Source organism: Homo sapiens, chromosome 12 (genome assembly GCF_000001405.40).
Source record: "Homo sapiens chromosome 12, GRCh38.p14 Primary Assembly".
Classification (NCBI taxonomy): domain Eukaryota; kingdom Metazoa; phylum Chordata; class Mammalia; order Primates; family Hominidae; genus Homo; species Homo sapiens.
This window is the reverse complement of record NC_000012.12, coordinates 113,929,418-113,957,311: the sequence shown is the minus strand read 5'-3', so window position 1 is coordinate 113,957,311 and position 27,894 is coordinate 113,929,418. Positions and strand designations below refer to the sequence as shown.

The window sequence follows — 27,894 nt, the reverse complement described above, 5'->3', positions numbered from 1 at the left end:
GAGCCACTGCACCCAGCCTCTGCATTTATTTTCTGTTGCTAACCTGGAGAGGTCACCTGCCTTCCAGAAATTGCCTATAAGTAGGGTGACAACTAAATTATTGTCAACACTAAGTTAAAAGTGAGATGCTAGTCCAGTGGGGTGCCAGGCTGTGGATGTAGTTACTGCAGGTCTAATGACTACAGATAGAGTGAACAACTATCCCGGGCAAACTGGAGCAGCCCCGGTCAACACACCCATATCCCACCAATGGGGCAGAAGTGAGCTGAGTGATGGCTTTGAGCCTTTATCCTTTGTATTTAGTAACAACACAGGCAGAGGGGTGCAGACCAGTCATCAGCAATCATAGGGAGGATCAACTGAGCCTGCGCTACACACTAGGCACCATGCCTGCCGTGCCGTTGCATCTCATCACTATCTGGAGGGCAGTATTGGTCTTGTTCCATTTTACAGATGAGGAAACAGGCCTGGAGAAGGAAGGTGCCTCAGCCAGGGTCATGGCTGGGAAATGGTGGGTTCAGGACTTAGCCCCAGGTCTGTGGGGTCTGAAGTCGAGATCATAAACGTGGGCGCTTCCCCAGAGGTCGGCCAACTCGTCTCTGACCTGGGAGTCCTCTCTGCATCAGAGACAGAGCAGTTTGACATGTTGTCCAGGTCCCTGTTCCCTCCTTTCTCTGTGAAGCATCACTTCTCTCCCTGCCTAGCCCTGTATTTTTTTTTTTTTTTTTTTTTTTTGAGACAGTCTTGCTGTCGCCCAGGCTGGAGTGCAGTGGTGTGATCTCAGCTCACTGCAGCCTCTGCCTCCCGGGTTCAAGTGATTCTCATGCCTCAGCCTCCCGAGTAGCTGGGATTACAGGCACACACCACCACACCCAGCTAATTTTTGTATTTTTAGTAGAGATGGAGTTTCACCATATTGTCCAGGCTGATCTTGAGCTCCTGGCCTCAAGTGATCAACCCACCTCAGCCTCCCAAATTGCTGGGATTACAGGCCTGAGCCACTGCACCTGGCCCCAGCCCTGTATTTTCAAATGAGATGAAAGCAAGCTTCATCCTCTTTTCTTTCCTCTTTTCCCTTTCTTCTTCCTCCCTCCTTTTATTTTCTGCCTCTTCTAATTATGCACTCTGTCCTTTTCTTCCCCCCCAAAATTGTATATTTCAGTGAGGTAGTAGAGTGTGGGGAAGTCAGAATTATGAGTTCAAATCCTAGTTCCATCATTTAGTGGCTGTTGGTCCTTGGGTGAGATACTTTACTTCCTTCAGCCTCTGAATTTTCGTTTACAAAAAGGCACTCATGGTAGCACTGCTCCCTGCCTCCGGTTTCTGACCCCGTGCCTAAGTATATGCTGGAATTCTGGAATCTTCAGGTTTCAGGAAGAGAACCCTCTGGAATGCAGCACCCCCAGCAGGGCTCACTCCCCTCTGCCTACCTTGTTACTAAATACAGGATAAAAGGCAGCACCCCACGGTCAAGCGCAGTCACATTTCTGCAACGCATGGACAAGACTGCTTGCGCTGCGTGAATCAGCATAAGCTATATATGGGCTCACATCCACTCAGGGCAGGCTTTGCTGGGAAGTGCATTCAAGTCGGGGCAGGTTTTGTTGCCATAAAGGTTACCAGAAACTTAGGTTTTTTCAGAGGTGTCTGGATTCCGGAGTTGTGGGAAAAAGGATCCTGAACCCATAATCCCCATGGGATTGTTGTGAAGATGTAGTAGATCACTGGCATCTGTAAAGTGCTTGGCTTAGTGTCTGGCACTGATAAGCCCTACATAGTGGTACTGACACCCCGTTCTTCAGGGCTCCTTCACATTCCCACCCTGCCCCTCCTTGTAGCCCCAGGGTCCCTGTCCAGGTGCCCATAGCTTGCCAGGCTCTGGTTCCAGCCCTCGTCTCAGGGGCACATGGAGACTTGGCATCACCTAGCCCCACCTCTGGCCAGACTCCATACACGGTGGACATTGATTCTTCCCAGCATTCCCCAGCTCCCCCTGGCGGCAGGCACCTTCTCTGGCACTGAAATGTCCCAGTGTGCCACCTCCTGCAGCTGTACGAAGGGTTAGTGTGGCCACTTCTGTTTGTTTTTGTGATCACTCAGACAGAGAAACCAGCAAACCAGAAGGAACCCACCACCTGCCACACCGTGAAGCTGCGGGGAGCCCCGTTCAATGTCACAGAGGTATGTGCTAACTGAGGACAAGGGTCGGCAGCCTGCGGGAGCAGGAGACGAGGGTGGGGAGGCCAGGAGCCTTTGGTGCATGGGGGCATTAGAGTCGGTTGAGGACATGAGCTGGAAGGAATTGGGGGCCAAAAAGGCTGAGAAATAACATCTCCGGCATCGTCAGGGTCAGGAAACAGGCATGGCTACACCAAGACAAAGGAGGTTCTGGTTTCACTCACCAGTACCCACACCAGGGTGGGCACACACTCTGTTAAAGAAAAGGTTGTGGGGGCAGTCAGCCAGTTAATATTTAAGACTTCGTGATCAACACGGTCTCTGTTGTGACTACTCACCCTGCTCTTATAGCAAGGAAGCAGTCTCAGAAAGTAGGTAAAAATAAATAAAACTTTAGTTACAAAAACAGGCAGTGAGCCAGATTTGGCCTGTGGACTGTAGTTTGCTGCCTTTGGGTCTGTAACAGCAGAAGAACACTTAATTTTCGTTCTTCGTGAAAGTAGTAGTTCAATATAGAAAACTCAAAACCATGTAGCTAAATAAAAAATATTTAAAAATTGCCTGTAAGTAGGATGACTACTAAATTATCATCTACACTAAATTGAGAGTGAGAGGGGTGCTACCCCAATGGGGTGCCAGGCTGTGGATGTAATTACCGCAGGTCTAACGACTCCAAATACAGTGACAACTCATCCCAGGCAAACTAGGGCTGCCCTGGCCAACACACTTGTATCTACCCAGTGACGTCCACTGATACATTTTGGGTGTGTCTTCTTAGATGGTTTTTGTTTTGTTTTCCTTTGTTTTTAGTTTTTATTATTATTATTTTTGTGTGTGTGTGTGAGACAGGGTCTCACTGTGTTGCCCAGGCTGTAGTACAGTGCTGCCATCATAGCTCACTGAAGCCTCTTCTTGGACGTTTTTGTCTTTGTATGTCTAAGAAGCAATCATTTACTGGGAACTCTTTGGAAACCCCTTTTTCCTCCTCATCATGGTATGTTATAGACCTCTTTGAATATTGAATATACTCTGCTACAGCAGCATTTTTTATGCTCATGCTCTTCCTTACTCAGGGTAAACTTCTGTAGGTTTACTCAGTCCCCTAAATTGGGACGTGGGAGTTATATCCAATTTTTTGCTGTTATAAATAATAATTCAGTTCCTTGGGATTAGGGGTGAGCAGACTTCGTCTGTAAAGGCCAGATGGTAAATATGTCAGGCTTTGTAAGCCATTTAATCTCTGTCACATATTCGTTGTTTTCTCTTTTTTTGGTAATCCTTTAAAATGTAAAAACCATTTTTAGCTTGCAAGCCATTCAAAAGCAGACCATGGTGATATTTGGCCCGTGGGCCATAGTTTGCTGATCTTTGCTCCAGATAAATATTCTGTGTAGGCAAATGTGTGTACAATTCTAAGGCTTTGGCACATAATATCAGTTGCCCTCTGGGAGCATTGCTAGTTTATGCTCGCTGTAGCAGAGTCTACAAGTGCCCATTTTCCTGAACCCTGGGTATTATTAATGTTTCATCAATGTGATAGGTAAAATTGGCATCTCATGTTAATTTATATTTTAAATTACTTGTAAGATGGATCATACTCTCTCACATTTGTAGATCGTGTATATCTTGTTGTCATTGTTGTTTTGAGACAGAGTTTCGCTCTTATCTCCCAGGCTGGAGTACAATGGTGCAATCTCAGCTCACTGCAACCTCCGCCTCCCGGGTTCAAGTGATTCTCCTGCCTCAGCCTCTCGGGTAGCTGGGATTACAGGCACCTGTCACCATGTCCAGCTAATTTTTGTATTTTTAGTAGAGACAGCGTTTCACCATGTTGGCCAGGCTGGTCTCGAACTCCTGACCTCGGGTGATCACCCGCCTTGGACTCCCAAAGTGCTGGGATTACAGGCGTGAGCCACCGCACCTGGCCAATATATCTTCTCTTTTGGAAAGTGCCCGATCATGTCTTTTGCCCTTTTTTCTCTTGAAGTCTTTATCTGTTCTGGTACTCTATGTTTATAAATATCTGAATTACAACTTATCAAACTTCAGAGTAGCAAGCATGTAGGTTTTATTAAACTCACTGAGTTGCTTGTAATTTTGTCAGAATTCTTTCAGTATCAACCATTCAGAAAATCACATGCTTTAATTAACAAAACCAAAACCACTAGGTGGCTACTTGCAAAACTAATACACAAAAACCAAATACTCAAGCTTAATGAGAAGTGAAAAAAGCCAGGTTTAATCCCAAGTATATACAATTATCTAGGGGGGAAACAGTGCCTTGAAATGCGGATCGTGACATCGCTATTTTAACGCTGATAGTGACACTGCTATTTTATATTTATATTACTCATTTCTCCTCCAATTTTCTTTTTCACATTTTCTCCAAGGTAATTGGAGAAGCGATACGTATAAGGAAAGAGAAAAACTAAAGAATGAAACACTTTGTAATCCTTTCTGATTTAGAAATTTGCCCCATGTCTTTTCGTTGGGTTGTACTTTTATTATGTGGTTGGTAAGGGGAAAAAAACTTCTTCTCACAGAAAAATGTTATGGAATTCCTGGCACCCCTGAAACCAGTGGCCATTCGAATTGTGAGAAACGCTCATGGGAATAAAACAGGTAAGATCCAGGATGTTTCCAGGTGGGAAGGCGGGTAGACAGTGAAGATTGAAGGTTGGGGTACTTGAATAAGGAAGAAGTTTTAAGGGCACCCGTTTTTCTTCCTGTTTGTGGTCCTCAGTTGTGTGGATGTGGTCAGCCTGGGCAGGTTAAGGCTGCATCTCTTGCCCCAGCCTTTGGTGGCCTAGTGTATAGGGATGGAGTTCTCACCTGTGCTTTTCATCCTTCCCTTCCTCATCTTAGCCTTTGCCTATCTCAGTGGGCTCACCTATTACGCTGAAACAAATGCCAACAGGTCCTGGGGTTTGCTAGGCCAAGTCCACAGGCAGCTCTGCTGGTGGGCAGGGCTCTGAGTTGCTGAGCATGTGTGGTGTTGCCCCGTGCCACCCTCCCTGCAGGTTTATACTCTGGGCAACCAACCAGGCACCTCCCTTGGCTTCAGAGCCCTGGGTTCTGGTCATCCTGAGATGAGCAGTGTGGCTGGAAGGCAGAGTGTCTGAGCTCGGGGAGGTGGGCACCTGTCCGTGCCTACTTCTTGCTGGCCAGGACACTGGGAGATTCAGCAGCTGACTTGCTACTTCTCAAGAGAACCACACTGAGGCCCTGTAGCTGCGGGGAGGCTGGAGGCTGGAAGCCGCTGGATGTGTACTCTGTCTTTGGCAAGAAGACACTGGCCTGGGTAGAGCAGTTGAGATCTACCTAGGCTGACATCTGGGGAAGAAAGTGTGCTTGAGGGATGGTCTCCTCACTGTCATGTTTCTGCATTTCTTCCCCAACTCTCCTCTTATCACGGAAGTCCCACTTACCCAGCTGATCCATTCAGCCACCCATCCTTCTCCTTGCAGACTGATTACAGGGCAGGATGAGGTCAGGGTAAAGGGCTCTGCCTAAGTGCAGATCTCAGGTAGGAGCCCTATGACCTTGGACAAGGGACTTAGCCTCAGTTTGTTTGTGTGTGTGAGTGTGTGTGTGTTTGTGTGTGTGTGTGCAGTCAGGTAAACCTGTCTCACCAAGTTGCATGAATGGCTCTGTGTACAGCATTTAGAGCAGTGCTGAGCCCCTGTTGCACACTCCATGAAAGCTGCTGTTAATATTCATGATGGTGGTGGTGATGGTGCTGGTACCCTTGGTTTTATGGCACTTCACAGACCAGGGAGGGAGCAGGAAGAAACATATCTGAGTTGTCAGACCCAAGAGAAAACCATATTGGAGGCCCCAGAGTTGGAGAGAGCCGGCATCCAAGCATGAAATGTTGAAAAGCAGCTGAATGTCCCCTGCAGGAGAGCTGGGGAGGAGGCAGGCTGGGCCCCTTAAGCTTTAGGGGCCTCATTAAAGATTGTGTGTCTCAGCTACTCAGGAGGCTGAAGTAGGAGGATTACTTGAGCCTAGGAGTTCAAATCCAGCCTGGACAACATAGCAAGACCCAATCTCAAAAAGAAAAAGATTGTGGGCTTCAGTCTGGATGCAGGGGCCCCTGGGAGCTTAGAGCAGGGGAGGGCAGTGATCACATTTAGGATGGTCCCTGGCAGGTGAAGAATGGGTCCTGGAGCCAGGCGTTTGCCATCGTCTAAGGGAGGATCAGTGGTGATGGGGCCTAGGGTGTGGCCATGGAGAGGGGGAGGGAAAAGGACGGAAGATGTTTATGGGGATGGATGAGGTGCCTGGATATAGGAAAGGAGGGCATGGAGGAGTCACAGAAAGAATCTAAACAGCCTTGTGATTAAAGGCAGAAAACCCAAGGGCTTTGGACCAAGTATTAGACATTGCCAGCTATTAGCCGAGTGCCCCTCGGAGTATTTCTTTAATGCTCCAGAAAAGCAGGGGAATGGTCCTCACCCCTCACCTTGTTGCCTCACAGGTTTGAGGCCCAAAGAGGTCAGGAAGCAGAGCCTCTCATGCTAGAGGAAAGACTCCCCCATTTGCTTGTTTTTTTGTGCAAGTCAAGGCCTCAGGTGCCCAGGAGCAGAGTGGGTGTGGAGAAGGTGCTTCCAGCGCCTAGGTGGGTCCTCATGCTGTAGCCACAGGCCCTTCTCCAGAGAATGGCTTAGAGCAGGTGCCAGTCGGGGGATGGGGGTGAGGCTTGGAGGGAGACAGAAAGGCCTCCTGGGCTTCCAACTCCTGGCATTCAGCATCTTCATCCATGACACCGGGCTGGGGTCTGTACACTCCCTGCAGAGGGAAATTTGGCTGTGGGTGGGAGACAGAGAGAGGGAGACCCTTTGTATTTTGGAGATCTGACCAAGGTAGAGGTTTCTCCCTCACTTTCTGCTCCTAGCACAGTATGGGTGTTCCTCTGGGGACCACCACAAGTGTCTGCAAGGCCTGCAGATTTTACCTCTGTCATTGTCCTCTGTCAGGATACATCTTTGTGGATTTCAGCAATGAAGAGGAAGTGAAGCAAGCTCTGAAATGCAACCGGGAGTACATGGGTAAGGAAGCCCTGGCCATGTGCTCTCTCTGTGTTACAGCGTTCCTTCGTTCCTTCATTTCCTTTACACGTTCTTGTACCAGCACCATCACCACCACCAAGAATGCAGTGTCTCTGCAGACACTGTTCTAGGCACTGGGGACATGGCAGGGAGCAAACAGACCCAAATCCCTGCCCTTTCGGGGCTGACAGAGAGTAAACTGACTTAGGAGGGAGAGACAGGTGGTTAAATGTGTGATCCATGCTACAGGGAAACACACAGCAGGCACGGGTCCTGGGGAGGGCAGGGATTGGAGGAGGCTTGGCTTTAAACAGGGTCCTGTCTGCTTTGGCCTCACCGAGGGGTGACATTGGGACACAAACCTACAGTTGTGTAGGCTCTGGCTCTACGGACAGGATGTTCAGTAGAGGGAACAGCACGTGCAAATTCCCTGGAGTTGGGAGGTCTTCTGAACAATACCCAGGGATGTATTCTTTGACCAATCCCTGGCCAAGACAAGTGATTTGAATCCAGCCATCAACCCCAGTGAAGACATGAGTTGTGTTAGAGAAGGATGGAGAGCCTTGGGAATCTTGTTAGCAAGTCAGGAGGTGGGTATTTATTGAGCACCTAGTAGTGCCTGTGCAGGATACAGTGATAATAGCACCCTAATCAGGCACAGGGGCTATGCGTGCAAATAAATCATCAGCAGGTAAGTACCCAGGGCTGGGCTGTCACCTAAGACCCTTCCCAAGGCAGAACAGCAAGCAGTGCCAGAGAATACAGCCCGGAGTTTAGAGAATGCATCACCGTGGTCTGGGATAACTCAGGCAGGCTCCCTCCAGGGCTGAAGCTGAACTGGCAGGGTGAGTGAGATTTGGGTTCAGGCCTGGTGTTGGCTTGGCTTATGCTGCCGCCTCAGGTGACAGGGCAGGTGTTGGGTGCTGTCATCTGCCACCTTGATTGTGTTTTTTGGAAGGCAGCAGAGAAGAGTTTGGAGTCACCAGCAAGGAGTTGCTGGCAAGTTCTAGGCCTCCCCCTGGAGCCCTGACTCCTCTTCATTGCAGGTGGGCGCTACATCGAGGTGTTCAGGGAAAAGAACGTCCCCACCACCAAGGGTGCACCAAAGAATACCACCAAATCCTGGCAAGGCCGGATACTCGGGGAGAACGAAGAGGAGGAGGACCTGGCCGAATCCGGAAGGCTCTTTGTACGGAACCTGCCCTACACCAGCACCGAGGAGGATCTGGAGAAGCTCTTCTCCAAATATGGTAGGGGTGTGGCCTCCGGGCCGTGGATAGCCCAGCGGCTATGGGAGCCGGGCTCTCACTCTGACGTCCTGGGTTCAAGTCCCAGTGTGCACACGACTCCACATCTCTTGCCTCAGTTTTCTCATCTGTAAAATGGGACCAAGTACCCCTGAGCTGCTGTGAGGATTCAGTGACATGATGAATGCAGGGATTCGCAGGGCAGGAAGTAAAAGGTATTAATAGCATCACTGGCATCCTTTGCTGTCTGAACTCTCTAACTTCTCCAAATTCAGAATTGAAGCAATTCGGATGACTTTTTTGAGATACTCCCTTGCTGTCCAAAGTCATGCCACTCGGTATTGGAATTGAGTAACTGTACAGGTTTCACCTGATGAATATACCTACACGGCGTTCCTCCGTATCTGAACTCTTAATTATGTAAAGTCTTCTTATCCAAGCTGAGCACCAAATAGATTTGATAGTGTCAAGGTTAGTGTTGTTGTTGCTGTTATTTCTCAGGCCATGGGCTTGAGGGCCTGTAGTCCAGCTTGGTCACAACAGGCTGTGTTTGTTTGTGGAGTTACCATTGTTGAAGGGCAGGAAGGGAGGGTTCAGGATGAGGGGAGGTCTTGATACCTTTGAGATCCCCGCAGTGTCTCCCCATGTCTATTCAGAGGCCAGCTGTAGGTTGTGGAGGATTGGAGATGTAGGTTGAACACCTGATGTGGGCCCCGTTGTCAGGGTAAGGATGCCCTGAGTGGAGCATGCCATCAGGAAAATTGACCTGACCTCCAAGCCTGGGGCCTGCCCCAGTGGAACTGTGTGTTCCATTCACCAGTCTGCTCACCATATCCTTCACACAGGCTGGCATCCCGGCTTACACCTCATGGGTGGGCTGAGGGGGAGAAGCATTTGTCGATATATTGCAAATGTCCATTTGGGAAGGAAAGACCCAGAGAGGGGACGCGGTCACACCCTGGCATTCAGAGTTGAAACCAATGCAGAAAGGGTGTGCTTTAATTTGAGCATGATGCTAATATCATCATGGAAGACACTTCTTTGGCACTAACTCTAGCAGGCACTGTTTAGTGCACTATGCACGCATGAACGCATTTAGCCCATGAGCTAGGTACTGTTGTGCTGTTTTACAGATGAAAAGACTGAGGCATGGGGAGGCTTAGTGATTTGCTCAAGGCAAGCTTCATGTGTAATAGGTGGTGGTGCTGGGCTCCAGCCCAGGTATTGTTGCTGTTAGGATAGACACACGTAGGGGACTGGGAAATGACACCCATGACCTGTGAGGTTGGCTCACAGCTGGTGCTCACCACATTCTTCCCTGGGGCCAAGTGGCTGCGGCCTACCAGAGACCGACACTTCTCCTGTCCTCAGGTCCCCTGTCTGAGCTCCACTACCCCATCGACAGCCTGACCAAGAAACCCAAGGGTTTTGCATTCATCACCTTCATGTTCCCTGAGCACGCTGTGAAGGCCTACTCGGAGGTGGACGGGCAGGTATTCCAGGTGAGGCCCCGTCCTGGGCTGGCCAGGAGGCTGTGGGGCTCACATGGTCGGGAAAGGCTGGTGTGTGTGTGTGTGTATGTGTGTGGACACGGGCGTCCACTTTGTGGGCCTAAGAAAATGTGCAATGGCATGCTAAGTCACTGCCTCACTCAAGCCACTGGAGAGTAAGAAGTCGTGTGAGGGCACGGTCTGATCTGTTCTGGTCACTGATCTGTGGCACCTACACCTCTGTCTGGCACTTAGCAGGCACTGAAAAAATACTCCTTGAATGGATGAATTTGCTCTCCATCTCTATAGATACCACCTTAGAAGAGGAGTAAGAAGAAAAGAATTTTGACAGGGACCTATTAAAATGGCCACAGTGGAATAAAAGAAACTTCTCTTTTCCCAGTGTTACCAAGTAATATACTTAGCATACATCCTCAAGCCCCAGGCTGCCTCATCATCACCCTTTTTCCTTTTCTCATTCATTCATTGATTTATTCATGATTTCTTGATCCCCTTGTTGCCATCAGGCCAGACCTGGCCCCACCGGCATGGACCTCACATTCTTACTCACTGGTGCAGGGACAGGATGCGATGCAGGCTTGAGAGGCGGGGAGAGGGCTGCGGGTGCGGGGTTATACACTGATCGAAGTTTTGTGTGTGTAGCTGTGTCAGGTGGCCCCCTCACGACATCAGGATCCTGTGTCAGGTGGGAAGAGAGTGGCCACGTTCTACCTGACCTCCCTCCCACCCTCTGGTCAGGGTTTCAGTGCTGGGTCCAGCTTACTCGTGGCAGAAGCCAACATCCTTCGGCAGGAAGCAGGGCTTACAGGCAAGGCTTCTGTTTACTCCCTTCCCGTCATTCCCATCCAGGGCAGGATGCTCCACGTGTTACCATCTACCATCAAGAAGGAAGCCAGCGAGGATGCCAGTGCCCTGGGATCGTCGTCCTACAAGAAGAAGAAGGAGGCCCAGGACAAAGCCAACAGTGCCAGGTCCTCAGTGCCCCTGAAACCACTGAGCTCCAACCCCAACCCTCTGCCACCCTCACCCTGCCCTTTCTAAGCCACCTGGGTCTTCTGACTCCTGATGGGTTTAGTTCATACCTTACCGAGCTTCAGTTTTCTCATCTGTAAAATGGGAGAATAATAGTAGTGCCTTACTTTTATGGTGCTGTAAGGTTTAAATGAGTGAATGTATGTGAAGTTCTTAGTCCCTGACACAGATGAAGCACTGTTAGGGATGGTTCCTGTCATCATCCGTCTTGTTGTCTTCAGGCCCTGTATACGTAGCCCATGATAGGGAAATTGGGGGCATGTAGATAGGCAGGCCTAGGAGCCCATTTCTTACAGGATTCGTGTCTGAGAACGAGTTCCCCTCATCCAGCTGCGGTCTGATCTCCCTGTTCTGCCTCTGCCTCTTAGCTCTCACAACTGGAACACACTATTCATGGGGCCGAATGCCGTGGCCGATGCCATCGCACAGAAGTACAACGCCACCAAGAGTCAAGTGTTTGACCACGTGAGTAAGGGCCGACCAGTCCTCTCTGGGATCTGGGCCAAACTGAAGGGGAGAAAGAGCAGGAGGCTCGTTGTACTGCTGTTGGCTGTGAGGCTGGGGCCGCCAGGGCTTTCCTCTTGGGCCTTCCCAGAGGCCTCTGGAATGGAAGGTGCTCTCCCAGCCCTCCCTTTGGAAACATCCCCAGCCAGGCTCCAGCCCTGGCTTCTCATGCCCTTATGTGGAGCCACCCCGGAGAATGTGATTGACAGTGGTGTTGACAGGTGACATTCCTGAGAATTAGTGTGTGGTACTCCTCACAATGGCCCTGTGAAGTAGGGTTTGTTGTATCCCATTGTCCAGATGAAGAAACCGAGATCCAGGGACACAATAACTTGTCCAAGGTCACAGACTTGCAAAGAGGTGGAGGTGGGAGGACACCAGGTCTGGCCAACTCCGGTGCCTTGGCTCTGAACCATGTCTCATGATTTCCGCAGCCCAGGCAGCCCCAGTCTCTGAAGCCAGAGGAGGGGGTCGCTGGGTTCCGTTCCTCCTTCTCTCCCAAGTCTAGCTTTATTCCTTCTGACTTCCCCATCCATCCAGCTCCTCCATATCACATAGCTTTAAAAATCAACATGATGTTTTGATAGACATATAGATAGTGAAATGCTTACCATAGGCCAGCCAATTAACATTTCCATCATCTCACACTTGCCCTTTTTGTGTGTGTGGCAAAAACAACTAAAATCCACTACAAGAGATTTTGCTAGAAGCAGAAATCTCCAATGTTAACTCTAGTCTTCATGTTGTACATTTATATTAGATCTCTAGACTTACACAGCTGACATATCTGCTCTTTTGTATTCTTTCTACTTTGGATCCTATATGTGCTTTGTACCTTCTATAAAAGGATACTTTTTAAAAGGTATATTCAAGTAGGGGTGTGTGTGTGTGTATATGTATATAAATGTGTATATATATATACATTTTTATATATACATATATATACACATTCATATACATATATACACATGTATATATAATTTTTTTTTGAGACAGAGTTGCTCTGTCACCCAGGCTGGAGTGCAGTGACATGACCATAGCTCATAGCTCACTGCAGCCTCCCAAATTCTTGGCTAAAGCAGTCCTCCCACCTCACCTCCCGAGTGGCTAGGACTACAGATGCATGCCATCATGCCTAATTTATTTTTAGTTTTGCAGAGATGGGGTCTCACTATGTGGCCCAGTCTGGTCTCAAACTTCTAGGCTCAAGTGATCATGCCACCTTGGCCTCCCAAAGTGTTGGGATTACAGGCAGGAGTCATATAAAGTATATTTTATATATATGAAGTACAAAGTATACTTTGTCTAAGGTACTTTGCAGAAAGCCTGAAAATGCCCCCTTCTTTGTATATTTTGTATCCTCATACCTTCTTTTAAAATGCATGCATCTGGGTTGGGAACGGTGGCTCACACCTATAAACCGAGCTCTTTGGAAGGCTGAGGCAGGTGGATCACTAGAGGTCAGGAGTTCGAGACCAGCCTGGCCAACATGGAGAAACCCCATCTCTACTAAAAATACAAAAATTAGCCTTGTGTGGTGGTGCATGCCTGTAATCCCAGCTATTTGGGAGGCTGAGGCAGGAGAATCGCTTGAACCCAGGAGGCAGGTTGCAATGAGCCGAGATCATGCCACTGTACTCCAGCCCAGGTGACAGAGCGAGAGTCTGCCCCAAAAAAAAAAAAAAAAAAAAAAAACATGCATCTGGAGTTAGAGGCAGCTGAGTTCTTCCCAGGCAAACCTGGGAATGTTTTTGACATGGGTGGATTTGGCTCGTAAGCTCCTTGCCCATTGCTGTCCACCAGGCACTGAAGGTCAGTGCTGTCCATTAGGGAATGTGAGCCACATGTGTAGTTGGAAATGGTCTAGTGGCCACATGTTTAAAAGGCTAAATGAAACAGACAAAATTAATATTAATAATATATTTCATGTAACTCAGTATATCCAAGACATTTTCCCTCCCTCCTGAGACAGAGTTTTCCTCTTGTTGCCCAGGCTGGAGTGCAATGCTGTGATCTCGGCTAACCAAAACCTCTGCCTCTCGGGTTCAAGCAATTCTCCAGCCTCAGCCTCCCAAGTAGCTGGGATTACAGGCACGCACCACCATGCCTGGCTAATTTTGTATTTTTAGTAGAGATGAGGTTTCTCCATGTTGGTCAGTCAGGCTGGTCTCGAACTCCTGACCTCAGGTGATCCCCCTGCCTCAGCCTCCCAAAGTGCTGGGATTATGGGCGTGAGCCACTGGGCTGTCCAAAATATTATCATTTCAACATATGCACAATGTTAAAAAAAAAAATTGCAAGCTATTGTAGTCTTTTTTTCCTCACGGAATTCTGTGTGTGTTTTCCACGGAGAGCACTTTGGATGTGTCGCGTTGCATTTCACATACTGAGGGGCTCTGAGGGGCTTGTGGCACTGTGTTGGATGGCACAATTCTAGACCCAGGCCAGCTGGGGGCCTGCAGCCGCTTCAGATCCCCCGAGTACTCTGAGTTCTCGGAATGCAGCAACCCCCAAAACAGGAGCAGTGAGGTTCCTCTGGTGCTTTCCGATGAGGGAAAAGACACTGACACATTAGCAGAGGTGCAGTGCGGCAGGCCTGGTGAGGGCAGAGAACAGAAAAGCCAAGGGAGGGATAGGGTGTCACCGCAAGGGTGGGCTGGTCAGCAACGTGACACTTAAGCAGAAACTGAATGGAGCAAGGAAATGTGGGGTAAAAGCCATGGAGGCCAAGGTCAACAACTGCAGGAGCCCTGCGGTGAGATGAGCTCAGCATGGGGTGGCAGCAAAGACCCATATGATGAGGGGAGGGAGTGCAGGAGAGGGGACCCTGGGGTCCCAGATCTACTGTGAGAGACCTGGGAAGCCAGAGCCACTGGGGGGCCAAGCACAGTGGCTCACGCCTGTAATCCTGGCACTTTGGGAAGCTGAGGCAGGTGGATTGCTTAAGCCTAGCAGTTCAAGATCAGCCTGGGCAGTATGGCAAACTCCCATCTCTACAAAAAATATAAAAATGAGCTGGAAGTGGTGGGGTGCGTCTGTGGTCCCAGCTACTCAGGGAGGCTGAAGTGTGAAGATTGCATGAGTCTGGGAGATTGAGGCTGCAGTGAGCCATGATCACACCACTGCACTCCAGCCTGGGGGACAGATATGACAGAGTGAGACCCTGTCCTTCTTAAAAAAAAAAAAAAAAAAAAGCACAGAGCCGTTGGGGGCATCTGATCAATGTAGGAAGGTGAGCGGCATCCGTGGAATCCATTTCCATCCCAGCCTCCTCTTCAGGCTGTTGGGAGATGGGAGGGCCAGCAAGTCACCTGGCCGACAGCCAACCAGAACTCTTCCTTTCCTCTTCCACAGGAGACCAAGGGCAGCGTGGCCGTGCGCGTGGCTCTGGGGGAAACCCAGCTCGTCCAGGAAGTGCGGCGTTTTCTCATAGACAACGGGGTCAGCCTGGATTCCTTCAGCCAGGTGGGTGTTCTCGGTGGCGCCAGCCAGCCAGCAGCCACTGGAGAGTCGAGAATGGCCTTTCCAGGGGAGATGCAGATGGATTTAAGGATCTGGCCTTCTAAGGACTATTACTGATTTCTAAATTGTCTCTAAAGAAAAGAAGAAATGTTACATGGGCTGAGACAAGTGGCCTATCTGACCCTGATTCTGTCTGTCCAGAGCCATGTACAAGAGGTCTGCCTACAACCCCACAGTTCCCCCACACAGATCGGCACCCCCAACATCTCACTCCCCTACCCAGTGGCTTCCCAGAGCATCTGTTATCTGTTCGGGGACTTTGACCCTTCTTGAACCTAGCAGGGAAGAGTCCAGCACCTCCATGTGCCTGTTCTCCAGCAAGTAGCAGGTCTTAGATTTATGGATGACTGCAGCTTAGAGGGCCCCTAAGACATCATGAGACCCCTTCATTTTACAATCTGGGATACCAACGCTCAGAGTGGGGAGGTGACTTACAAGGTCAAACAGTCTATATGTGAGAGGAGCCTGGACTAAAACTCAGGGCTTCTGACTCCCAAAACAGCCCTTTCAACAGCCTTCCCAGGCCTCACATTTTTACCTCAAGATGGATGAGGAGGATGGATGAATGAAGATGTATGGGGGATGGGTGGATGGATGGATGGATGGATGGATGGAGGATGAATATGGATGGTGGATGAATGGATGGCTTGATGGTTGGATGGATGGATGGATGGATGGATGGTGGATGAATACAGATGATGCATGGATGGATGGGTAGATAGATGGATAAAATAAATATACTAATAGCTAACATTTATTAAGACTTACCAAAGCACTCTTCTAAGTTTACATGTTTAATTAGCTCATTTCATTCACATGGCCACTCTGTGAAAGCAGCTCTACTGTGCTTCCACCCTACAGAAGGAACCACAGTCACAGAGGGGTGAAGTCACTTCACAGCTAGTCATGGTGGAGCTGAGTTTGAACACAGGCCTTCTGGCCCCAGAGTCTGTCTCTCTAACTGTAACACTGCGGCCTGAGTTGCACCTAAAAGGCCCACAGGTGCCCAGCCTTTCCCACCTGCAGATGGTTTTCACTCCCCTCACCTCACTCAATCCTCATAGTAACCTTGTGTGGCCTCTATAAGATGGGTGTGACTGTTAGCCCATTTTGCAGATGAGAAAAATTGAGGCCCACAGAAACAAGGTAATTGACCCAAGGTCTCAGGTTACATTAGCGGCTGAGCTAAGACTTATTCCCAGATAGGCCATATGCCTAGATTTTTCCATTATATTTTATTGGCTCTTTTATCCTCCTCCAACATTATTTTTTAATAAAATTATTGCTAACGTTTTCAGAGTGCTCATATTACATGTACTTTTACTAACCCATTTAATGAAAACTTTTCCTGGAGCGATCCTGTGAAATAAATGCTCTGTCCTTGCTGTCGCTGCGGGAGCTGAGGCACAGTTAAGTACATTTCTCAAGGCTGAATAGCTTAGTCTTTTAGTTTTGGTTCTCCCAGAAGCAGATTCTGAGACAAGGATTCAAGGGCAAACAGTTTTGGGGGCAGTGCAGAAAACTCTGGTGAGAAAGGGATGCAGGGAAGGGAAGGAGCCCAGGGTGCAGAGTGTGCTGCTGCAGTACGCTGCCCTGTGGCTGCCTGGAGCTCTGCCTAGGGGAAAGCCTGCAGCACTCATACCTCAGTCTCATCCCACCCAAGGACAAGGAGTGCAGCAACTCCTGAGAGCTGTGGGCTGCTCCCAGGGGGCGTTAGCTCTGCAGCACGTCCTGCTGGCTGCACGTGGTAGCAGGTGGGCGGTCTGTAGTTCAGGAAAAAAAGCCTTGGTACTGAGATGCAGACCCCAGCCACTGGAAGCCTTGGAAAGTGCGGCCCTGCTCAGGAGTGGAGGAGGGGCTGGGATTTGATCCAGAAGCTCCAGCTTCAGAGTCCCAGGCCTTACCCCCTCTGCAGAGCTGCCTTGCAGCCTTGCAGGGAGCATCATGCCAGAGAGGGTCGTTCCTCCTGGGTCTTCCTCCTAAGTGCCTGGTTGCTGAGGTTCCAAATGGAGAGCCTTGTCTGGAGAGCCCCACGATCCCTGCTGGTGTCAGCTGGGGACCCTCCTCCCTCCTGTGGTCCCATGTGTGTGCATTTCCTCTTTGCAGGCTGCAGCAGAGCGAAGCAAGACTGTGATTCTGGTCAAGAACCTCCCGGCAGGCACCCTGGCGGCCCAGCTGCAGGAGACCTTCGGCCATTTTGGCAGCCTGGGCCGCGTGCTGCTGCCAGAGGGCGGAATCACTGCCATCGTGGAGTTCCTGGAGCCCCTGGAGGCCCGCAAGGCCTTCAGGCATCTGGCCTATTCCAAGGTAGGGCTGCTGGAGACCCAGAATTGATCTGGAGAAGGACCAGTGAGGGCTGCTTCAAGGGAGAGGGTGCAGTGGGCTATGGATTCACAGATGTGGCACATGGGAGCTCACCCTAAACCGCCCGTCACGATCATGGCTGAATATCATCCCTGCCGCCTGAAAACCTGTCTGGATGGGAAGAATGGGAGACGGAAGTTCTTTTTTTTTTTTGAGACAGAGTCTTGCTCTGTCACCCAGGCTGGAGTGCAGTGGCGCGATCTCTGCTCACTGCAAGCTCCGCCTCCCGGGTTCACGCCATTCTCCTGCCTCAGCCTCCCAAGTAGCTGGGACTACAGGCACCCGCCACCCCGCCTGGCTAATTTTTTTATATTTTTGGTAGAGACGGGGTTTCACCGTGTTCACCAGGATGGTCTCGATCTCCTGACCTCGTGATCCGCCCGCCTCAGCCTCCCAAAGTGCTGGGATTACAGGCGTGAGCCACTGCGCCGGGCCGGGAGAAGGGAGTTCTGAACCATCCTCCAGAAAGCATGCCTTGGTTCCTTGCCTGACTCTAGCTTTTCTTTGGCTTTCTTTACCCATGTTAATTTGGATTAGCATTTTAATTTTAATTAAATGTGTTCATTATTTTTTTGAAAAAGTATTTATTTATTTTGAAAGACAGGGTCTCGCTCTGCCACCCAGGCTACAGTGCAGTGGCGCCATCTTGGTTCGCTGCAGCCTTGAACTCTGGGGCTCAAGCAATCCTCCCACCTCAGCCTCCCATGTAGCTGAGACTACAGGCATGCACCACCACGCCTGGCTAATTTTTTGATTTTTTGTAGAGACAAAGGTCTCCCTATTTTGCCCAAGAATGAGCATTCTTGATGCTTTTGTAATCCTGTAGCTACAATGAGATGAATGAAAGTCAGTTCTGTAGGTGGGGCTGTCTCCTGGTTCTTGGTTTAGAAAAAAGCCAACAGTTGTGTATTAGTTTGCTGGCTGTGGCTGTCATAACAAATTATTACAAGCTAGTTGGCTTGAAACAACAGAAATAGATCATCCCACGGTTCCGAAGGCCACAGTCTGAAATCAAGGTGTCAGCAGGGTTGTGCTTCCTCTGAAGGCTCTAGGGAGTCTGATCTGTGTCTCTTCCAGCTTCTGGTGGCTCCAGGCATCCCTGGCCCATGGCTGCATCACTCCAGTTTCTCCCTTCATCCTCACTTGGCTTTTCCTCTTCTCTCAGTCTTCCTCCCTGTTTCTCTTATAAGGACACTTGTCATTGGATTTAGGCTCTGCCGGGATAATGCAAGATGATCTCATCTCAAAATCTTTCACTTAATGAAATTTGCAAAGATCCTTTTTCCAAATAAGGGCGCGTTCACAGGTTTCTAGGGGTTCAAGATATAGACATACCCTTGCGGTGCCACTACAAGTATTTTCTGTTTATAAGACACTTTAGCACTTCGCAGACCTTGGTCTCCCTCAGCAATTCTTAGAGATAGATATTCATGTCCCCCCCAGCAATTCTTAGAGATAGGTATTCATATGCCCCCCAGCAATTCTTAGAGATAGATATTCATGTCCCCATTTTGCTGGTGAGGAAATGATTTCTCATTCTCTGCCACTTTAACCCCGTAATAGTCTTTAGCTTGGGACTCTGTGGCCACTAAGCTCTCAGGAAGTCAGTCTGCGCCTGACCCATAAGAAAAATTATCTAGGTGGGGCCCCATGACTGAGATGTGAGCATCCTTTGGAATGTGACACCATCCTTTCTTCCTTCTGCTTTGGGAGGACATGCCAGTCACCAAAAGCTCTCTCTGTGTGAGCCACAGTTGGAGAACACTGACTAGGTGAGGCCTCCTGTTTTGGGCAGTGTCTGTTTCACCGACAAGAAGACTGCTGTCTTCATTTTGCACATATGGAAACTGATGCCCAGAGAGGTGCCCTGACCCACGATCACACAGCTAAGTAGTGATGCAGCCTGCTGTCTGCACACCAATCTGTTTCACTCTGAAGCATGTGTATTTCTCTGAAAATAACTGATTTGCAAGGCTTTCATGGAGTAGGAAATTTGAAAAGATTCAAAAAGGGCATTTGTTGACAAGTCTCACTCCCACCCCTGTCCTGCAGCTCCCCAGTAACCGCCTAATGAGGCAGGTGTCATCAGTGTCTTGTTTATCACCCGCCTGCCCAGGGCCCCTCTTTTTTTTTTTTTTTTTTTTTTTAAGAGGCAGGATTTCCCTGGAGTGCAGTGGCAGAATCCTAGCTCACTGCAGCCTCAAACTCCTGAGCTCAAGGGATCCTCCCACCTCAGCTTCCTGAGTAGCTAGGACTACAGGTGTGTGCCACCATGCCCAGCTATCCTTTTAAAAAAATAACATCTGCATGCACACATATGCACACGTATACAGGTGTTGCCCGTGGATATATGCACATAGAGAGAAAGTGTGTTCTCTTAACGGGTATTTTACACTTCCTCCTGGAGAGCTGCACTTTACCAGTGATGTGGTCGCTCCTCGTCCCACTCCCATCTAAAGTATGAAACTTTAGAGTTTCATACTCTGATTGGAAAAAACACAAAGGGGGCCTGGGAGCTGCCATATGTCTGGTGGCAACAGAGACTAAAGCCTCTCTCCTGCACCCTGAGATGCAGCATGGGGGCCGAATGTTGTCCTCAGGGAGTAGACAGCAGTCAGGGCTCTGGGCTGGGCTCCTTCCGGCTCCATTCTTGGGTGAGTTGCCCATCCTCTGTGACCCTTGGGCTGTGATCTGCATGGGACTGAGTCCCTCCCCAGCAGTGTGTTGTAATGAAGACCCACAGGGCCATCACTCTTGTCTCTGCAGTTCCATCATGTCCCCCTCTATCTGGAGTGGGCTCCAGTTGGCGTCTTCTCCAGCACAGCCCCACAGAAGAAAAAGCTCCAAGACACACCTTCAGAACCCATGGAAAAGGACCCAGCAGAGCCAGAAACAGGTAAGAGCTGAGTCTGAGACCAGGATGGCTTGGGATCCTGGTGAGGGAAAGGAGGAGGGTTGGGGGCAGCGTGAAGTTTCTTATCAAGCCTCTGGTTTAAAGCTCTTTGTTCATGCTAGAGACCAGCAGGGCTCAGACTCTCAGATTTTATGGGCATGTCCTGTAAAAAACAGTGTCAAAATTATGGATGCAATATGCTTTTAGTTTGTCAATTAAAGCTTTTAGGGGAAAAAAATTACTATCTATTAACAAGGATTCAAAGCAGAGCAAGTATAAACAACCTTCCTGTTTCAGAGATGGACCAGAATGGCTCATGGAGGAGGGTGGCTGGTATGGGAGATACTTATTCTCATGTCCTTGGAGTGGCAGTGCCCTCTGATGTCCAGTGACTGCAAAGACAGGAAAGGAAGGGGAAGCCGTGGCCCCTGGGGGCCAGATAGGGCAACCCCCACCCCCTGGCTAATGCTTCCTAGCTGGGAAAAGGGGTATCATTGGGCTTTGGGACTGGACAGTACTTTCTTGTCAGGACTGCTTTGCAAATCACAAGACATTTCACATCCCTGGCCTGTGCCTCTGAGTGTCACGAGTGCCCCCAGTCCTTGTGACAACCTGGAACACCCCCACGCATTCCTAGATGCCCACAGCGGGCAGTGTATCCCCCGCATCGAGGACCTCATAGTCTAAGGACCATGACCACATCTTAGAAGCCAAGACCAACAGGACCATGGTCATTCTATCCAGATGTTACGATTTTCCTTGTCAGTAATAACCACTCACCTATACACACCCACAATACAGCAACCAGTTGTTTAACTTATTAAAATAAGGATGTTAAAAAAAATAATAATAAGTCCTCAGCTACTCTCTCCTTTGTTCTCATTTTTTTTTAAAGGACATTTCATAGTTAAAAAAAAATGGGGAGGAACACTGTCAGATTTAAGAGTTGTTTTTTTTGTTTTGTTTTGTTTTGTTTTTTTGAGACAGAGCCTTGCTCTGTTGCCCAGGCTGGAGTGCGCGATCTTGGCTCACTGCAACCTCTGCCTCCTGGGTTGAAGCAATTCTCCTGCCTCAGCCTCCCGAGTAGCTGGGACTACAGGCGCCCACCACCACGCCTGGCTAATTTTTTTGTATTTTTGGTAGAGACGGGGTTTCACCATATTGGCCAGGCTGGTCTGGAATTCCTGGCCTCAAGTGATCTGCCTGCCTCAGCCTCCCAAAGTGCTGGGATTACAGGCATAAGCCACCACGCCCAGTCTAAGATTTTAGTGGAATAGACTTTGCTGTACCTAACCTCCCCTGCCTTGTCCACATTTCTCATTTCCTTGTTTCACTGTGTATCTTCAGGACTGGCTCAGCCAGCGCAAGGCATTCAGGAAGTGCCTGTCTGGAGGCCTGTTTCAATCAGGAAACAAAATCCTTCAGTCCCTTTGCGATCTGAGGACCCAGAAGCATCCCACATCGTTGGGGTTAATGATGATTGGTGTAAACCTTGTGAAAGCCCGACTCCTGCTCGTTTATGAGTTAAGCTCTCTCCACTCAGTTTGGATCAGGGTCTCCTTCAAAACCTGTGCCTGTTCCCATCAAAACAAAATTCTCTTCATGTCATCCTGGCTTGTTCTTAACTGTCTCCCCCAAATCACAGCTGCCTTGATTTTTACTTCAGTTACCACCCTTGAACCTAAGTAATGTTTTTTTTTTTTGGCCCAAAGCGAGTTCTCCTTTGAAACGCAGAGATCAGCCAGGGCTGAGCGGCACTGAAAACAAATTGGTGGAGGCCTCTTCCCGCAGCCTTGGGTGGCAACAGGAGGCAGGCTGGGGACACGTGGTGGCTCCCAAAGTGACCGCTTCCACCAGGCTCTTCATTTCCTTGTGTCCTGGGGATTATCCCTCTCTGCTGTCTTCTTTTTTCTCTAACACTTGTCACAATTTCTATTTATTCTGTTTATTTGTTACTTGTATTTGTTTCCTATCTCAGCCAGACTTTGAGCCGTGAAGGCAGGGAATGGGGCTGTCTCCTTCACTGCCCGGTACCCAGCACCCCGGGGGGCCCAGGCATAGGGAAGCTCGGTTCACAGGTGTCAAGGGAGTGAGGGAATGCATGAGAATCTGCCTCTCTGTTCCTTCGAAAGATGAGGCCGGGTCATATTTGTCTTTGTGTCCCAAGGCTCTGGCACACAGTAGAAGCTTAGTTAGGTTTGAACGTTTGGTTTTCGTTGTTAGCCCAGCCTCAGAACACAGTGGTGACAATAACACCATCAATCAAAATAATAGAGGGGGCTCCCATTTGTCCCCACTCTCACAAATGGCCCTTTATTTTATTTCAAATGCTTATCACTTCCTGGAATTGTGTCATGAATGGTTCCTTTCCCCGGTGTTGCTCTGTCGGACTCTGCCCCTGGAATGGCCACTCCACATGCCGAGACCCCATTCACCTTGCTCACGGCAGTATCCTAGCACCCATGAACGTGCCCCAGTGGCTGATAGTGATCAGGAAGTGTGTGTGAGTGAACCCAAGAGCAAAAGCAGCAGTTATGCCATGCTAGGCATGGTTCTAAGTCCTTGGCATCCTCATCATGTGAGGCCTAGAGCCCCTGGGGAAATGGCCCTGAGATTTCCAGTAAGCAGCCATTCTGTGACTGGCCAAGCCACCTGCCTCTCTGAGGCTCAGTTTCCATATCTGTAAAACGGGCATGATATCCGCCCCGCCCTCTGAGGGCGTGGTGGGATGTCACATGCACATCACCAGTCTTCCGCTGCTGTTGGTGACTGAGCAATATAAATCACAGTGCATCTTGGGAGGCTGAGGCAGGAGGATCACTCGAGTCCAGAAGTTCAAGACAAGCCTGGACAGCATGGCAAAACCCTATTTCTACAAAAAATACAAAAATTAGCTGGGCGTAGTGGTGCATGCCTTGTAGTCCCAGCTACTCAGGAGGCTGAGGTTGGAGGATCACTTGAGCCTGGAAGATGGAGGCTGCAGTGAGCCGAGATTGCACCACTACACTCAGCCTGGGTGACAGAGCAAGACCCTATCTCAAAAATTAAATTAAAATTTAGAAAAATATGGCACAGTGGATAGTCTTTAACTCACCATGGGCACCAGCCCCAAGCCAGCAGCCGAGCTGGGTGATCAAGATGGACACCACACAGATGCACAGACCCCCTTCCCCAGGAACTTTTGAGCTGTGGAGGACAATAGAGCTGTTGGGGGACAAGTGAGATGTCACAAGTAGTAATAGAAGTGGGCCCTGAGTACAGAAATGTCTGCATCACAGCACAGGGTGCATCACGGAGATAGCATGCTGTGGTTTACGGTCAGAGTGTTTTCCCACCCCCTGCCCGCGGGTCCCCCTGCTTCCTGGGTCTACATTGTAGGTTTGAGCATGTGTCCAACAGCCCCTACCTCCCAGAGGGGCTGCTTTCCAGGGCCTGACCATGACTCACACAAAGAAGGCCTTAGAGCCCGGCCGCTGGGCCTCCTTTGGCCCGGGAAGTTGTGCGTGTCTGTGCTAATTCCAAGCCCCGCTGTGTCCCGCGTCATCGGTGAATTCCCACAGAGCTGATCTCCAGGGCCTCCTCCTGCCCTCACTGCACGCAGCACATGCACAGCCCCTCCTGGCGGGTGCTGTTCTTTTCACCTGCTCCTCCCCCACCCCCACCCTCTTTGCATTGTTCCTGAAGCTTCACCAAATCCCCGACTCCCCCGTTGTACGAGGACAACGAGGGCTGGGGGGACTCAGCCAGCCCACAAAGCCCTGGATTTTCTCAGGCTCCCAAGGAAGAAGAGTAGGAGGGGAGTGGACATACCTTTTTTTTTTTATTTTACCCCCTTCCTTTCTGCAAAGCTCTCCTGTTCTCTGTACCAGTCTCGAGGGAGGGGGACAGCGTGTTTTATCTCCCCACAACCAAGACCCTCACCTCCAGATAAAGGGCTCAGAGTGGGGGGAGGTCCTGAAAAGCTGCTTGCAACTGATAACAGTCTTTGCTGTCAGCTCCAGCGCCGAGAGCCGGGAAAGGGGAGGAGGCCGCAGTAAATTCTGTGGCCTGATTATAATAAAGCCCCATGTGGCGATGCGTGACTGGATTTGATTGTGCTAACTACAGATGGAAGCACAGTTCCCCTGCCTCTCCCAACCCCCTCCAGCCCACCTTGCTTTTAGATCCTTCCCCCAACTCCCCCGCCCCCAGGCCTAGCCCTGATTCCTTTCTCACTTCTTCCCTCTTTTTCTGGTTCCTGGTGTTTTTGTTGGCAAACATCTGTTTGAGTTTCACAATACCTTATTTTTTTCTTTCCCATCTTTCTTTTGTCTCCCAACTTGGGGCCAGCAGCAGAAGTGCTTTTTAAAATGACCTTTGGCTTCATGGCCTTGGCTCCTGGCTGTCTCCACGCCTCTCTGGACACAGCCTGGCCTGGTGACTCGGGGAGCAGTAGCTGGCTGGCAAGGGTGCCCAGCTGTGGACTCGGACGCCTGGCACTGGCTGGCCTTCCTGGGAGCCTGAAGCCAGCAGCTTACCCTGCAGGGAGAAGGAGAGGGAGGGCCGAGGGCTCCCCACACTGGGTTGTCTTATCTCTCCCAGGGTTAGGGATTTCCAACATTTTCCCCTGGATTTCTCTCTCAGCAAGGCCTGCTGGGCAGTGTGGGTAGCAAGGGTAATATTAAGAACGAAACTGTTCTCTCCCAGTGCTCGCTGCAGGCCCAGGCTCAGGTCTTGCAGCCTGCTCTGCATTCATTCTCATCATCGTCCTGCAAGTAGGCACCATGATGGCCAGCCCCTTTTTAGATGGAAAGAAGGAAGCACAGAGAGTTTGCATGACTTGAGCAAGGTCACACATGTGGAGAGAGCCGGGATATGACCTGAAGCCATCAACTCTGAGGCCTGTGCTCTTACCTAAGACCTCACAGCTCTTCTCGATCACAATAAGGGCTATTTCATGATCGCTGTGTTCTAGGCACATGCTGAGTGCCCAACAGACTCATCGCCCACAAGTAGATCTGTTCTGAGCCCAGTGCTGGAGATTCAGTGCCAACTGAGTCAGACTGGGTCCTGTCTCGAGCTCCCTGTGTAGTTGGGGAGCACAGATAGAGGAGCAAACTGCTCAATACAGTGATGATGGAATAGGACAGGGCTCTGAAAAGAAGAAAGCAGAAGAATGGAACAGCGAGTGGTTGGGCCCAGGCTGGAGACTGCTTTAACTAGAGTGGACAGGATGAGCTCCCTGTGGGGAGGCTGTGTGAGAAGGAGCCAGGCCTGGGAAAGCAGCAGACCAGCAGAACAGGCAGAGGCCAGCAGGTGCAAAGGCCCTGTGGTAGGAAGGGGGCTTGGCAGGCTCGGCCATCAGAAAAGAGACCAGTGCGTTTGGAACGGAGGTGACGGGAGAGAAGGGAAAAGGGTGAGGGATGAAGTCAGGGAAGGTGGCGAGCCAGGGAGAGGGGCAGAGGGCACAGCAGCAGGGAGTCTCTTCAGTTGTCCAGGTGAGGTGAGGGGTAACAGAGCCATGGCCTGGCATGTGGAGGAAATAGTGGATACTTGCATTTCTAAACAGCCCAGCAAAGCGCAGGTGTATGAGGACTGCTGGCAAAGATAACAACTCTTCCCCCTTCGAAGCACACCAGCCACAGCTCATGGACCTGGGAGGCCATGCTGAGGGCTGCTGGGCCCTCCAGGTTGTTGCCCTTATAAGACTTGGGAACTCCTGGAATGCCATGCTGGGGACTAGCTGGGTTCTGGGGCCTTGTGGGAGAGAGGGGGAAGGGCCATTATCTTTGCCAGTGGTCTGTATACACCTGCACTTTGCTGGGTTTTGAAACAACCTATACAATACATCCTATACAATATACTCACATTAATTTACAATTCATTTAAACTTCAAATGTAGATTTTGCATTCTTCGTCATAATTATTACATTATCGTCCTTTTAAAATTTGGTAATTGAGTTTACAGTCACTCACTGTTCTGTTTACCAATTTTCCTACAAATGAGCATGACTTTGGGGTTTTTGTTTGTGTATGTATTTTTGGTATTAGGGGAGAGGTGGTTTTAATAAGCTCTATTTTATAGGTAAGGGTGCAGAGACAGCAGTGAAGTCACTCACCCAGGGCCATGCAGCTAGGTTGTGGCAGGGCTGGGACTGGGCCTGCCCTCCTCGTCTTTTCCAGGCCCCCTTCTCCGGCAGATCTCTAAAGACCATGATGCCCTTGAACTGTTAGTTCTTCTAGGATCCAGGGTGAAGTTTCAGGTGTAGGGCGGTTGTTGCTATGAACTCAAGGTTCAGGGAAAGAACGGACGTCTCCGGGGTCAGCCAGAGCCTGCGCTGCTGGAGGAAAGGCAGACCCCTTTGAGCACATCTTTCATTTAAGCTGGGTGTTCCTCCCGAAGGGGAGGGTAAGAGGCTGACTTATGGGAGGTTGGAGATGCCAGGTGAGCCCCATGCCAGGCCAACTGCACACCCAGATAATAGGTCTTCACCTTCCTCACAGTTCCCTCTTGTTCTTCCTGGGCTGGGGCTAAGGGCAGCTGATCTGCCAGGGAAGGGATCTGCCCATTACTGGTCTCAGCTGTGTTACTAAACCCAAACATCACACCCCCTTGGGCAGGTGCCTGGGCATTTAAAGATGCCCTTTGCAGCACACCAGCCACTGCTCATAGACCAGGGAGGCAGGGTGGAGTCAACTCCAGCCATGCTGAGGGGTTCTGGGCTCCCCGGGTTATTACCCTTGTGAGACTGGGAACTCCTGGAATGCCACGCCGGGCACTGGCTGGGTTCTGGGACCTTGAGACAGAAAGAGGGAAGGGCATCTTTGCCAGTGCTCTGGGGCAGGCCAGATGCAGGGAGCAGAGCACTGAGGTTTCAATGAGCTGGTGTACTTGCTGACTACTGCCTAATTCAAAAGTCACTTGCCATTAAGTTGCCAAGATTTAAAAACCATGGGATTTCCTCTGTAAAGCTGGATTTCCTACTTCTCTTAATAGATCTGAATTCTGGCCATGCTAGGTTGACCTTTCCGTCAATTGGCCAGTGCCAAGAAGGGGCTGTCCTTTAAACTGGCCATGAGCCCTCCTGGTCACCATCATCCCCACTATGCTTTTCTCTATAAAATTTTTTTCCAGTCTTCCATGAACCTGTCTCACCAACCAGAAGGTGCCTGAGATTTCGGGTACAGATGCAGCAGCCTACAGAACTCTCCTTGGGCCCCCTGTTTTCTGTGATGTGGCTGCTGTGGTCATGAGTGAGACTGTACTCAGGGTATTCAACCACATGCCTGGTCATGGCAGGGGATCTCATCAGTGTTCTTTCCTTTCTCCTTTAATCTCCAAGATGTCAAATGCCAAGGAGGGCCAGCTGGGTGGAAATATCATTCACTGCTGAAGGTCATGGTTTTCATCTCCATTGAAGTTCTGGTCCAGGACCTGAAGTCTTAGCTGCCTTGCATAGCTTTCGTTCTCACCATTAGTGGTACTTTTTCCTCCAGCTTTGTTTGAAAGTTGGGTTTTAAGTACAAAGGGCCACACCATGGAGTCTCTCTTGTTGGGTAAATTGTGTTAGTTTCTTGGTTGGGGGAGGAGCCTTTGTGTAGATTTCTTCTTT

At 49.9% G+C, this 27,894-nt stretch overlaps 1 protein-coding gene and 1 pseudogene across 7 annotated transcripts in view, besides 7 other annotated features; both read left to right on the top strand.

The window, feature by feature from the left end:
• Window positions 1-27,894, top strand: part of RBM19 (RNA binding motif protein 19) — a 149,586-nt gene that overhangs the window by 9,014 nt on the left and 112,678 nt on the right. For 4 of the 7 annotated variants that reach the window (XR_944848.3, NM_001146699.2, NM_001146698.2 and 1 more), the window contains exons 7-16: window positions 2,101-2,181; window positions 4,722-4,800; window positions 7,158-7,229; window positions 8,276-8,479; window positions 9,848-9,978; window positions 10,837-10,958; window positions 11,388-11,484; window positions 14,878-14,988; window positions 17,152-17,352; window positions 20,176-20,305. Coding sequence is in view for 5 of the 7 variants with exons in the window: in NM_001146699.2 (NP_001140171.1) it covers window positions 2,101-2,181; window positions 4,722-4,800; window positions 7,158-7,229; window positions 8,276-8,479; window positions 9,848-9,978; window positions 10,837-10,958; window positions 11,388-11,484; window positions 14,878-14,988; window positions 17,152-17,352; window positions 20,176-20,305 (1,228 nt within the window). In the remaining 2 variants the exon portion in view is untranslated. The remainder of the gene's footprint in view (window positions 1-2,100; window positions 2,182-4,721; window positions 4,801-7,157; window positions 7,230-8,275; window positions 8,480-9,847; window positions 9,979-10,836; window positions 10,959-11,387; window positions 11,485-14,877; window positions 14,989-17,151; window positions 17,353-20,175; window positions 20,306-27,894) is intronic. The other 3 variants (XR_001748932.2, XM_017020281.2, XM_047429936.1) reach the window with 1 other exon arrangement.
• On the top strand, window positions 8,500-8,572 carry TRE-CTC16-1 (tRNA-Glu (anticodon CTC) 16-1; annotated as a pseudogene).
• Window positions 23,061-24,991: an enhancer, noted in NCBI's record as "VISTA enhancer hs1673". NCBI's record gives its function as "enhancer in: neural tube[6/9] | midbrain (mesencephalon)[7/9]" and the evidence as "EXISTENCE:transgenic organism evidence [ECO:0001131][PMID:17130149]".
• Window positions 23,061-25,278: a biological region, named in NCBI's record as "VISTA enhancer hs1673".
• Window positions 24,160-24,338: a silencer, noted in NCBI's record as "fragment chr12:114370779-114370957 (GRCh37/hg19 assembly coordinates)". NCBI's record gives its function as "represses an EF-1alpha promoter that drives an FKBP-Casp9 reporter gene in an ReSE screen in K562 erythroleukemia cells {active_cell/tissue: K562}" and the evidence as "EXISTENCE:reporter gene assay evidence [ECO:0000049][PMID:32094911]".
• Window positions 24,201-24,345: an enhancer, noted in NCBI's record as "145 bp enhancer 197 fragment used in the MPRA reporter construct; PK_construct_4239". NCBI's record gives its function as "activates an SV40 promoter by MPRA in K562 cells {active_cell/tissue: K562}" and the evidence as "EXISTENCE:reporter gene assay evidence [ECO:0000049][PMID:23512712]".
• Window positions 24,265-24,282: a transcriptional cis regulatory region, noted in NCBI's record as "GATA motif; MPRA enhancer 197 activity is reduced when this motif is scrambled". NCBI's record gives its function as "necessary for full MPRA enhancer 197 activity {active_cell/tissue: K562}" and the evidence as "EXISTENCE:site-directed mutagenesis evidence [ECO:0005528][PMID:23512712]".
• Window positions 24,595-25,278: an enhancer, noted in NCBI's record as "H3K27ac-H3K4me1 hESC enhancer chr12:114369839-114370522 (GRCh37/hg19 assembly coordinates)". NCBI's record gives its function as "activates a minimal SCP1, AML or CMV promoter by ChIP-STARR-seq in naive H9 embryonic stem cells {active_cell/tissue: H9 hESC(naive)}" and the evidence as "EXISTENCE:reporter gene assay evidence [ECO:0000049][PMID:30033119]".
• Window positions 25,279-25,962: an enhancer, noted in NCBI's record as "H3K27ac-H3K4me1 hESC enhancer chr12:114369155-114369838 (GRCh37/hg19 assembly coordinates)". NCBI's record gives its function as "activates a minimal SCP1, AML or CMV promoter by ChIP-STARR-seq in naive H9 embryonic stem cells {active_cell/tissue: H9 hESC(naive)}" and the evidence as "EXISTENCE:reporter gene assay evidence [ECO:0000049][PMID:30033119]".